We start from the raw sequence: 13,338 nt of genomic DNA, 5'->3' as shown, positions 1-13,338 counted from the left end.
GGGGAGCTAAAATATCCATCTCTAGTCCACTACAGACCAATTAAATAAGAGGCTCTGGGGGTAAGGCCCAACTTTCAGTACACTTCATTATAAAGCCCCCTTAAAAGATACTAATATGCAGCCAAGTTGGAGGCCCAGTGACCTAGAAGAGCAGGGGTTCTCGACATTGGCTGCAGTATCAGGAGCACTCAGGAGGCATTAACACTTCCTATGCTCAGGCCCTGAGATCCTGATTTAGTTGACTTGAGATGGGGCTGGGTATCTGCATTTTGTTATGTCTTCCCCATTAATAGTCGAGAATCGTTTCCCAGACAAAAGTTTTGTCGTTGTATAGACCCTGCAAGGATGCAGGGAGGGGAAGCAGTCTCATGAACAACTGTGTCTCCTCATTGTTTCTGAGCCAAGGTAGGTTCTCCTTGACCACCTTAGGGTGACTATCAGAGATGCCTCTGGCTATTGGATATACTCTGCAGGCTTAAGAGAATGTAGCAGATTCAGAGCACATTTACTCTGCCATTAGCCTCTACCTGCCTGTCAAGGAAAATGAGGGAGCTGGCACCACAGTGAAAACAGGCAGGAAGCTCTTGACCCTGCTTGCCATAGGCACCGGGGTGCAAGACAAGCTGTACACTTGAGTGTTTGCTACTTGCTTTACTGCTGAGCTTCATCCTACCCATGGAGGGAGCAATGGCTGAACTCAAGGGCCTTGTGGCCTGGGCAAGTCAAAGGAGTAATTAAAGAAAGAGGGTATTTTGCAGGCATCACAGTGACATGGCCTCTGTGGGTGAACAGAATAAAACTGGACATAAACATTTGTTCTAGAGACAAGTTCTCACCAGTTGGTTTCATTTTAGGGCTGTGCTGAGCTCTATAGAGATCCAGGCGAGCTGAAGGAGGACATGTAACTCTGTCTACCATATATCTATTCTCTTTAGGGTTTTAAAATGGCTCTGGGTCTCTGGGAACTCCAGGGGACTACTGTTCACCTACCTGCCTAATTCAGGATCCCAGTGTAGGAGCCGAGGTCCTATGGTGTGCACGGGTGCCAGTTCCATCCCTCACAATCTTTATTTTTCCTTCACAGTTGGCGACATGGGACTCAGAGAAGGGCTTGAATGGCAGCTTGCAAGAGAGGCCCATGGGCAGCCGCCTCCAAGGATTGACTCTTAAAGTGGTGACTGTCTTGGTAGGATCATGGGGACATTCTGGGAGCGAGCTACACCATCCAGGCTGTTGAATCAGAGGCTGCTTTCTGTTTAATGCTGGGTTTGGGGAGAAGAGAATCTTGAGGAGTATTGTGAGCTTTCATAAGGCCTTTCATTCAAATAATTGTATGAATAATGAAAGGAAGAGTGAGATTGAAGTTTCTGCCCCAGGACCTCTGTGCCTTCCAAAGGAAGTCCCTGAGCTGCTCTAGAAAAGGACTTCTCATTCACAGCTTCCTCTGAGGACCAGAGGGGGCCAAGCTGCTCCATTTGTTCTTGGATGTAAAATGGATCTTGACCCACTACTGGTCCTTAGGAGAGTTGTTCTGGTAGCCAGAACCCCAAGATAGATGCTGGAGGAGGACATTCTCTTAGCACCCAACACCAGTGATGGGCTCATGTGACAGTGACACAAGTTCAGAATGAAGACCATTCGGTAGTTGCAACTTTTCTGCATGGATGTCCTGGAATCATAGACTTTTGCATTTGTAAGAGACTTTAAAAGCATCTTCCTTTCAATTGCTTTTTTCACATTTTTATAAAAACTGCAGGAGACATTATAGACTTGCCTCTTATTGGCTGAGTCACACGTGCCCAAACGTCCCCTCTCTCCCAGCAGACACTAGCATTCCCTTGGCTTAGAAACCTTTGGCAACAGTATTTCTGCATTCTCTGTTTGCACACCACAGATAAGCTTTACACCCTATTTCCCAACACAACTAAATTAATGAGCTATACTCCCTGGAGCTGTTTGCCAAAGGCCCCTTGTTCAGTTTCACACAAGAAGGAAGGGGAATGGTAGGGAGTGCCAAGACATTTTTCAGATGACCACCTCGCTCACATGTGGCATAGCACAACATGTGCAGGTGTGAGCATGGCATGGCTTTGAACTAGGAACTCTGGGTTTGAATTCTGTCCTACCCTTTGGCTTCTGGTCTGGCCTTGGTCAGTTAATCCATATCCATATCCACTTTCTAGTATAGCCTGTAGATATAATGCTTTTTCTCTCAACCTAATGTCACAGAGCTTTATCGCCACTTACTATCCTGGATGAGAAGTTGCATGTTTCTTATGTGGGCCTCATATAATTTTGGCATATTCTAAGGATACAGTCCTAGCTCTGCATGGATGTTACAAACGGAGGAAGGAAAACAAACCATGTTATTCAGGGAACTAGGGGTTGGGGCAGAGCCTGGGATGACACGGGACAAATGAATCTCCACTCCTCTGTATGGACCTACTGATTGGAGTGATCATCCTGTGCACTGTTCCTTGAGTGTCCATAAACTGCTTTTAGAAAAAGGCAGAGAAGTTGAGCCTGAAGTCCTAAATTGGGGAACTGCAAATGTTCTAATCAGATCTTTCTCTCTAACATTACACTGGAAATATGTGTTGATGAACCTGTTATTTAATTGGAGAACCTTCATTCTGTTGTCCTCAGGAAGAGCCTTTCGTGATGGTGGCTGAGAACATCCTAGGACAGCCCAAGCGCTACAAAGGGTTCTCCATAGATGTCCTGGATGCACTGGCCAAGGCTCTGGGCTTTAAATATGAGATTTACCAAGCCCCTGATGGCAGGTACGGTCACCAGCTCCATAACACCTCCTGGAACGGGATGATCGGGGAGCTCATCAGCAAGGTAGGTCCCCATAGCAGATCCAGGGGGAGGGGCACCCTAGTCTTCCTCTGGGGTAATATCTAAACTTGACCAATTGCACAGTGGAAACCTTGGGACCAGCTAAACAGACCACAGTTACCATTCTCCCCACACAAAGGCTCTTTTGTCTTCAAATCCCCTGCTACATCCATTTCTGCTCTTGTATCTCCTCGTCTCTGACACTCTATGTTACCTCCCTGCCCATTGCTGTCATTCCTTTGAAGTCTATCATCCACTGTGCCTACTCTGTAGCACACCCTTCAAGGAACCTACCCTACGTTTAGGGTGAAGCAGAAACCTAGTTCCCACCAGGGGTACTGATGAGTGCTCATTCTCCTATCCCTTATAGACCACAGGTTAGATATTCATACATATGTGTGTATGTCTACATTGCTATGTGTTGATGGTGTGGCATCCCCCAGGTCCTCATACTTATTTAAATTGTACTCTTCTTCCCTCCCGTAGAAACTGCATCTTCATTGAAACTCGTGGCATGAGGCCAACTTACCATGTCCCCATTCTTGTCATCTCATGACACTGGGTCATTTCCCCATGATTATTTATCATGGTGGCATCTGACTCAAATCCTCCATCTCCATTATTTCTCCTGCCACCATTCTGACAATTTCTGACATCCCTGTGGACAACCCTGGACTCCCAATACTTTGACCTCCTCGCCTCCAGGGACCTTTGCTGTACTCCACTCCAGTGTTCACCCCCATGCATCTTGTTAGCATCTTACATGTCACCATCACTAGCCCACTGCATGACCACAACAAGTTGTCCTTCTGACTCTTTTGAACTTTTACTCTCACAGCACAGGCCCTTTGCTTTTTAAATCTGTAAAGGCAGACACTAGGCTTGTCATTCGTCCGATTTCTATTAATCTTTTTCAGAAACACCTTTACTGTGATAAATTCACATACTATAAAATTTATCCATTTTAGATATACAATTCAATGATTTTTAGTAAAGATACCGGGTTGTGCAACCTTCATTATAATCTGGTTTTAGAATACTTCCGTCACGCCATTGATATCTTTCATACCTACTTATAGTTAATGCCATTCCCACCCCCAGCCCTAGGCAACCATTAATCTACTTTCTATCTTATATAGAGTTGCTTCAGTGAACATTTTGTGTAAATGGAGTCACACAAGATGTGGTCTTTTGTGTCTGGTTCTTTCCACGTAGTGTGTGTATTTGAGGCCCATCCTTCTCTGCAGCTTCTGTGCCTTTCTGATACTGCGTCCTCTATGGGTGGCCAGACAAACCCCTCCTCCCTTCATCCCTTGTGACTCCCTCTGTTCTTAATTTTTTTGTTGCATCCTAAGCCTGAATGGATTCTATTATCTATCCTCTTCACTCTGAAATCCAGGTTGCTACACTAAATTAGAGAAGGAAATTGTGAATCTGTCCAGATTGCTTTAGAAACCCTGTGTGGTCTCCAAAATCAGCTGGGCCCTTCAGTACTGCCAGAATCTTTTAACTTGTCCTTTGTTGGGCTCCTTGGCTATGTCTCTCAGAGACCGTTTAAAAAGTTTACCTTTCTTCTTGAGCTACCTAAGAATCTTCTATCCTTCCCAACTAAAAAAAAAAAAATGATTGTACTTCTATATTGGGGAAATAAACTGAGATTTTGGGGCATAAAATTGTACCTCTAATTCCTATGAAATTTACATCTGCAGGCACCTGCCATCTCCCACAGAAGGGAGTGTCCCCTGTCCCCTGTCAGTCTGTCCCACTGTCACAGGACAACCCCTCCACCTGTGTCATGAGTTGATTCCTTTGTGCCTCCTTTGAACCTTGCTTCATAAATTAGTTTCCCTTCATTTTGTCTTGTAAGCCTATCCTGCTCCATTAAATCTCTTTTTAAGCCCTTAAATATGCTCCAAACTTTCCTAATCCTAAAAATTGTCCCTGGATGCTAGAGTTTTTAGAAGAGAGGCAAGAACCAGAGATGCCAGTGTGACAAGTGTAAGAGGAGAGTGTTGATAGGGTCACTTCCTATTTGCTGCCTTTACTCAAGGTATAGTATTAGATTTCTGTTTAGGACATGAGTATATCTGTCCCTAGCCTACATATTAAACCTTGAAAAAATCCTTCCACGTGTGTTTCCTCAGTTTGAGCTTGGAGGTTGAATCAGTTGTCACTATTGGTCATTCTAAAAGAAACTAGTTCTGCTGATGCCTCCCACTTTGAGGGTCAAGAGGCCAGATCATTATGATGACTGCCTTTCAGTGCTCTTGTGACTAAAGGAGGACCCTAAGCCCCATTGTCACCTGGCATCCACCCATCCGGACATGAAACCCGTAATCGCCCCAAACTTGGCAGTTTTCTCCTCACAGTCTGGATCCATCTTAATGGGGTTTCTGTCTGTTTTTAAAATGAAGCCCATTTTGGAAAGCAAACATCTTGGGAGGTAATTTTAAGGTCATAGTAGGGCACATCCAGAGAGATTCTTCACACCATGGCTTTACCATGGAAGAATAAACCTGTGGGTTTGCAAGCCATGAATTAAGGGTGGTGGAAGATAGAAATAAATATATGACCCCTTTATTCTTTCAGTATTTTACTCTCTGGCATGAAGTCTACATATGAAACACTCACTGGCTAATATGTTAATGAGGTCTAACATAGTTGTAGAACTCACCATATAACTTCTGAAGTGTTTTAGAAAAGAGAAAGATCAATGTGGGATAATAGAGTCTGAGAGGTGTGATGAAGAAATGGAGTGTGCCTCTGGTCTTAACATGTAGGGAGGATGCACACAGGCCTAGAAGATAGAAGGGCCTTCTTGGTGGAGGGTAGAGGGAAACATAGGGAAAATAAAAAGAAGATAGCTAAAGTTTGGTAGGAAAACAACAAAGTGAAGATAAACTATAATTCGTAGAGAAATGAAGATACTTTACTCGGCTCTTTTCTGTAGAAGCAGTTTCCTGAAGTTTTTAGAAGAGAGAGACTTGTAAGGTGAAGGAAATAGTAACAGACAACTTAGTGTTGGATTTTCCTTATAATATTCAGACTCTCAGGGTGCCAGCTCTCAAATCCATTCCTCTGAACAGAGCAACTCAAAGGACAGAGGGTGGACCTTGACCCAGGGCAGAACCCAGCAGTAAGCTGAGGACTGCCGTCTAAATGAGATGGCTTTGCCTTTCAGAGAGCAGACTTGGCCATCTCTGCCATCACCATCACCCCAGAGAGGGAGAGCGTTGTGGACTTCAGCAAGCGGTACATGGACTATTCAGTGGGGATTCTAATTAAGAAGCCCGAGGAGAAAATCAGCATCTTCTCCCTCTTTGCTCCATTTGATTTCGCTGTGTGGGCCTGCATTGCAGCAGCCATCCCTGTGGTTGGTGTGCTGATATTTGTGTTGAACAGGATACAGGCTGTGAGGGCTCAGAGTGCTGCCCAGCCCAGGCCGTCAGCTTCTGCCACTCTGCACAGCGCCATCTGGATTGTCTATGGAGCCTTCGTACAGCAAGGTACCTTTCTGGTTTCCTGATCATTGAATAGCTCTAGGGGCCTGGAAGAACTTATCCATTGGCAAAGTTCTCAGGTGCATTTTACCAAAGTCATTCCAAATGCAATTTTACTTAATCTCTAGGACAGTACAAATGTCATGCTGCACCCAATTTCTCTGAATAATATCAGAGAGAAATTAAATGAAACAACAATAAGGAGCTCAACTTCAATTCCTGATTCTCCACTTTAGATAAAATTAACTTTGGAGTCCTGCTTTGCACTTTTCTCTCCTCCTACATTAAAGTGATTGCTATGCACATGAGGTTGTCAATGAAACTGTGAATCTTGCTTAAATTTGATGACTTAATGGGGAAAAAAAATCCCAATTGTATTGCAATCATTTAAGCAGTACTTCAGCCATTCTTGAGGTACAAATTCTCCTACCTCTGAGGGGTCTGGATGGTACTTCTATCCACTAGTGAGTTATAGGATTGTGCCATTTTGACTGGAGCAACAAATTGCAAAGTTTCTAATGTGAGTCTTCATCCTGTTTGCACCATGGCAAATGCTTTGTGAGGTTATGTAAGGAGAATAAGCAGTGAGAAGCTCTCTTCTCCTAACACTTTAGAGACCAAGGAGAAATAATTGGCCTCAAAGAGGCTAAACTTCTAACTAAAAGTCTCATGCCCTGATTTCTGAGAATTCTGGGGGAAGAAAAGCCATCTAATGAGGGCTGAATACTAATAAAAGTGATATGGGACATCTCATTTCTCAGGTTTAAAAGAAAGCCAGGGATCCCTCCATGTAGTAGGAGTTATTTCTATATTTACAGAATTCCCGAGTCTGCTATATATGAATTTGAAATTGGAAAGGGATCTTACATAAGGCTGCAGCCCTAGAAGTTCTTACCACTGTGAGGTAGAATCTTCTAACTGAAAGATTTTGATATTCAGACCCCAACCCTTGGTGTTTTGACAACCTTCGCACCACTAGAAGCCCAGTCCTAACTTTTTCATATTTTGTGGTCCTCTGCCCTTGTCCAAGATCCATGGTTTTAGGATCCTATCCCAGAATTGGCACAGATGCCCAGACCCAGCTGACAGTCACCTCCCTGGTTCCAGCCCATCACGAGTGATGGCCTGTGTGCCTGGCTGCAGGGCAGAACACCTCCCTGGGGATAGGAGGGAGAGCAGAAGCCACTGGCCAATCCACTTTGTCTGCCTCCCGCAGGTGGCGAATCTTCCGTGAACTCCATGGCCATGCGCATCGTGATGGGCAGCTGGTGGCTCTTCACGCTCATTGTGTGCTCCTCCTACACAGCCAACCTTGCTGCCTTCCTCACAGTGTCCAGGATGGACAACCCCATAAGGTAAGCCTATTCCTCCTTGATCTGGAGCCAGCAGCTCAGAGAGGCTTTAAAGAGGATGTAAACCTTTCCAGGGCAGTGTGGTATGATGGAGAGAGCCCTGATCTGCAAACTGATGGTCTCCTGGAATCTTTAGTGCATGGAGAAGAGCTTCACTCCTGTTGTATTTTATCTCAGGCACAATTACATAAATGTATAAATTCATTAAATAATATTTCCTGAAAATTTAATGCTGGCTACAAAGCTAAGAAATCAATTAACAAATTACATTTTCTCAGACATTTAAACATTGATTACAAACTTATTTAATCAAAATTTTATAAATATTTAGTTAAAATTAATTTAAACCAGAAGTCTAATATATGCTTTTTTCAATCTTCGAACACCTTAAAATAATTTTTTTCAAAAATGCCAATTGCCACAATAAGTAGAAAACATATTTCATGCACATTTATATGATTATAAAATTATTGAAACCAAGACTAAAAATGTGTCTTCATGTTTACAAAATGTTAAGATTATGGCATAAAAGAATGAGCTCAATATAGCGAAATAACTCTTGGAAGTGACTGTATTTTATGATCAGATTCCCAAAAATAGTGTAAATTACAAAAAAAAGAACTTGGACAGAGTGAATTTGGTTGGATGTGTGGTTGTTGAAGTGGTCATAGGCATGGATCTGTTGTACACTTCATTGGGTACAATATTGGCTTCAATATTGCCTCTAACTTGATCGCTGATTATGGTTTTTTGACTCACTGCCTTTAGTAACATCCCTTTAATTCATCACACTCACTGTCATCATATTGGTTCTTTTGATCCATAGCTCTTAATCAAGTCGTCCATACTCAACCAGCCTCTATGGGTCTCAACTAGCTATTGAAAAGAGTTTAAACTCCTTGCCTAGGATTCAAGATTCAGTATGATATTGTCTAATATCTTTATTAAATTGACATTTTTATTGAGATAATTATAGATTCATATGTAGTTGTAAGAAATAATGCAGAGAGGTCTCCTGGGATCCTTTACCCACTTTTCTCAATGGTAACATTTTGCAAAAGTCTAATATTATATCAAAACCAGGGTATTGACACTGATACAGTTGACTGATTTTATTCACTGTTCCCCTCTTGTACTCATCTCTCTGTGTGTCTGTGTATATGTATGTGTGCATTCGGGTCTATACTATTTTATCACTTATAAACTTGTGTATCTGCACCACAGTAAAAATACTGAACAGATCTATCACCACAAGGATCCTTTGTGTTGTCCTTTTATAACCACCCAAATATTTTTCACATTTCTTCCCCTGACACTCTGTCCCCAACTCTGGCAACCATTAATTGTACTCCATCTCTAAAATTTTGTCATTTCAGTATGTGATATAAATGGAATAATGCCTTTTGGCTTTGGTTTTTTTACTCAACATAATTCCTTAGAGATTCGTCCACGTTTTCATGTGTATTAGTAGTTCACTGCTTTGATTATATCACATATACCACATATGAGTAATATCACATATACCACAGTTTGTCTAACTATTCCCCCATTGGAGGACATCTGGGTTGCTTCCAATTCTTGGCAATTATGAAAAAAGCTGCCATGAACATTTGCGTGCAGGTTTTTGCATGAACATGAGTTTTCATTTACATGTGATAAACACCCAAGAGTGCAATTGCTGGATCATATGGCAAGTTCATGTTGGGTATTGTAAGAAAGTATCAAACTGCTTTCCAGCGTGTCTGTATCATTTTATATTTCTGCCAGTGATGTAAGAATAATCCAGTTTCTCTGCATCTTTCCTGACATTTGGTGTTGCCATTATTTTTCATTTTACCATTCTGATAGGTGTGGAGTCATACTTCATTGTGGTTTTATTTTGCAATTCCTGAATGACTAATGATGTTGCACACCTTTTTTTGTGCTTATTTGCTATGTATATATCCCCTTCAATAAAATATCTGTTTTTATCTTTTCTAAATGGATTGCTTATTACTTTTGAGTTTTGAAAGTTCTTCATATATTTTAGACACTAGTTCTTTGTCAGATATGCGGTCAGCAAATATTTGCTGCCACTCTATAGCTTGTCTTTTCAAACTCTTGTCTTTTCACCATGAAAAGGTTTTAATTTTGATGAGGTTCAATTTAGAGAATTATTTATTTCACGAATCACGCTTTTGATGTCAAGTCTTTTCCTAGCCTGAGACCCCGAAGATTTTCTACTTTTATTTTTTACTGAAAACGTTTGCATTTTACAATTCAGTCCACAATCAATTTTGAGATAATTTTATAAAGTTTGAGGTTTAGGTTGAGAGTTTTGGGGTTTTTTTTTCTCTTCTTTTCTTTTCTTTCTTTCTTTCTTTTTTTTTTTTGTCTGTTTGTTTTGGTCTATGGATGCCCAATAGCTTTAATACTATTTGTTGAAAAGGCTATCCGTCCTCCATGGAATTGCTTTTGTATTTTGTGAGAAAACAGTTGGACATATTTGTATGTATCTAAATTGTCTATTCTGTTCCATTGTTATATGTGATTGTCCCTTTGCCAACACCATACTATCATGATTACAGTAGCTATAGCGTAAGCCTTACTATAGGGTAGAGTGATTCCTCCCATTTTAATCTTCTTTGTTAGCATTATTTTAGCTATTCTAGGACGTGCATCTATATATATAAATTTTTTCTCATTTGTATTTTTTGTTATTTTCAAAATTATCACCTAAAGGATTTCAGAATTGTATTCAGAGCAAATCGACTAACTGAAAAATTAACAGAACACAATTAATTAAAATTTTCCCATTTAATAATTAATAAATAACAAAGTATCAGTGACTCTAATAGTGGACTGAGTTTGAACCCAGCTCAATAATTAGTTGGCTAAATATTTTCCTCAAAAACATTGATAAAGCAAGTAACCATTTACTATTATCCTGATCTTTTGCTAAGTTTATTTATTTATTTTTTCTTTTTGAGGTATTATTGACAAATAAAAATTTACAGTATACAACATGATATTTTGATGTAAACAGGGTCTTTCACTGAGAAAATGTTTTAATTTTGATGAGGTCAAATTTAGAAATTTGTTCTTTCACGGATCATTCTTTTGATGTTAAGTCTTTGTCTATCCAGAGATCCTTAAGATTTTCTCTTGTTTTAAAATTCCTAACATTTTTATATTTTTACATTTTACATTTCATTCCACAATCAATTTTGAGTGAATTTCTGTATGAAGTTTGAGGCATAGGCTGAGGGCTTTTTTTTCAGTCTATGGATACTGATATGGTTTGGCTGTGCCCCCACCCGAATCTCAACCTGAATTATATTTCCCAGAATTCCCACGTGTTGTGGGAGGGACCCAGGGAGAGGTAATTGAATCATAGGGGCCTGTCTTTCCTGTGCTATTCTCATGACAGTGCATAAGTCTCACGAGATCTGATGTGGGTTTATCAGGGGTTTCTGCTTTTGCTTCTTCCTCATTTTCTCTTGCCACCACCATGTAAGAAGAGCCTTTCACCTCCCACCATGATTCTGAGGCTTCCCCATCCATGTGAAACTGTAAGTCCAATTAAAACTTTTTTTTTGTTCCCAGTTTTGGGTATGTCTTTATCAGCAGTGTGAAAACAAACTAATACAGTAAATTGGTACTGAATGAGGGGCATTGCTGAAAAGATACCCAAAAATGTAGAAGCGACTTTGGAATTGGGTAACAGGCAGAGGTTGGAACAGTTTGGACGGCTCAGAAGAAGACAGAAAAATGTGGGAAAGTTTGGAACCTCCTAGAGACTTGTTGAATGGCTTTGACAAAAATGCTGATAGTGAAACAAACAATAAGGTCCAGGCTGAGGTGGTCTCAAGTGGAGATGAGGAACTTATCGGGAACTGGAGCAAAGGTGACTCTTGTTATGTTTTAGCAAAGAGACTAGCGGCATTTCGCCCCTGCCCTAGAGATTTGTGAAACTTTGAACTTGAGAGAGATGATTTAGGGCATCTGGTGGAGGAAATTTCTAAGCAGCAAAGCATTCAAGAGGTGACTTGGGTGCTGTTAAAAGCATTCCATTTTAAAAGGAAAACAGCATAAAAATTCAGAAAATTTGCTGCCTGACAAAGCAGTAGAAAAGAAACACCCATGTTTTGAGGAGAAATTCAAGCCAGCTGCAGAAATTTGCACAAGTAGCAAGGAGCCTACTGTTAATCCCCAAGACCGTGGGGAAAATGTCTCCAGGCCATGTCAGAGACCTTCATGGCAGCCCCTCCCATCACAGGCCCAGAGGCCCAGGAGCAAAATGTGGTGTCATGGGCTGGGCCCTAGGTCCCTGTGCTGTGTGCAACCTAGGGACTTTGTGCCCTGTGTCCCAAATGCTCCCACCATGGCTGAAAGGGGCCAACACAGAGCTTGGGCTGTGGCTTCAGAGGGTGGAAGCCCCAAGCCTTGGCAGCTTTCACGTGGTGTTGAGCCTGCAGGTGCACAGAAGTGAAGAATTGAGGTTCAGGAACCTCTGCCTAGATTTCAGAAGATGTATAGAAACGCCTGGATGCCCAGGCAGAAGTTTGCTGCGGGGGCAAGGCCCTCATGGAGAACCTCTGCTAGGGCAGTGTGGAAGGGAAATGTGGGGTTGGAGTCCCTACTGGGGTGTGGACTCCATATGTGGAAATCAAGGAGTCAGGAGTTGAGGTTTGAGAACCTTTGCCTAGATTTCAGAAGATGTGTAGAAATGCCTGGATGCCCAGGCAAAAGTTTGCTTCAGAAGCGAGGCCCTCATGGAGAACCTCTGCTAGGGCAATGCGGAAGGGAAATGTGTCATGTGGAGTCCCTACACAGAGTCCCTACTGGGGCACTGCCTAGCGGAGCTGTGAGAAGAGGGCCACCATCCTCCTGACCACAGAATGGTAAATCCACTAACAGCTTGCACCGTGTGCCTGGAAAAGCCACAGACACTCAATGCCAGCCCATGAAAGCAGCCATGAGGGAGGCTGTACCCTGCAAAGCCACAGGGGCGGAGTTGCCCAAGACCATGGAAACCAACCTTTTGCATCAGTGTGTCTTGGATGTGAGACCTGGAGTCAAAGATCATTTTGGAGCTTAAAATCTGACTGCCCACTGGATTTCGGACTTGCATGGGCCCTGTAACCCCTTTGTTGTGGCCAATTTCTCCCATTTAGAATGGCTGTATTTACCCAATACCTGTATCTCCATTGTATCTAGGAAGTAACTAGCTTGCTTTTGATTTTACAGGCTCATGAGTGGAAGGGACTTGCCTTGTCTCAGATGAGACTTTGGACTGTGAACTTTTGGATTAATGCTGAAATGAGTTAAGACTTTGGAGGATTGTTGGGAAGGCATGATTCCTTTTGAAATGTGAGGACATGACATTTGGAGGGGCCAGGAATGGAATAATATGGTTTGGCTCTGCCTCCATCCAAATCTCAGCTTGAATTGTATCTCCCAGAATTCCCAGGAGGGATCCAGGGAGAGGTAATTGAATCATGGGGGCCGGCCTTTCCCATGCTATTCTTGTGATAGCGAATAGTCTCACGAGATCTGATGGGTTTATCAGGGCTTTCTGCTTTTGCTTCTCCCTCATTTTCTCTTGCCTACGCCATGTAAGAAGAGCCTTTTGCCTCCCATCATGATTCTGAGGCCTCCCCAGC

At 42.1% G+C, this 13,338-nt stretch overlaps 1 protein-coding gene across 3 annotated transcripts in view; it reads left to right on the top strand.

The window, feature by feature from the left end:
* The window catches only part of GRID1 (glutamate ionotropic receptor delta type subunit 1), a 767,244-nt gene that overhangs the window by 636,097 nt on the left and 117,809 nt on the right, over positions 1 to 13,338 (top strand). For all 3 annotated transcript variants that reach the window (NM_017551.3, XM_047425122.1, XM_047425123.1), the window contains 4 exons: positions 1,085 to 1,186; positions 2,647 to 2,844; positions 6,023 to 6,347; positions 7,558 to 7,696. In NM_017551.3, the coding sequence (NP_060021.1) occupies positions 1,085 to 1,186; positions 2,647 to 2,844; positions 6,023 to 6,347; positions 7,558 to 7,696 (764 nt within the window). The remainder of the gene's footprint in view (positions 1 to 1,084; positions 1,187 to 2,646; positions 2,845 to 6,022; positions 6,348 to 7,557; positions 7,697 to 13,338) is intronic.

The sequence above is a fragment of the Homo sapiens genome, chromosome 10, assembly GCF_000001405.40.
Source record: "Homo sapiens chromosome 10, GRCh38.p14 Primary Assembly".
NCBI classification, from domain to species: domain Eukaryota; kingdom Metazoa; phylum Chordata; class Mammalia; order Primates; family Hominidae; genus Homo; species Homo sapiens.
This window is presented reverse-complemented; position numbering and strand designations above follow the sequence as displayed.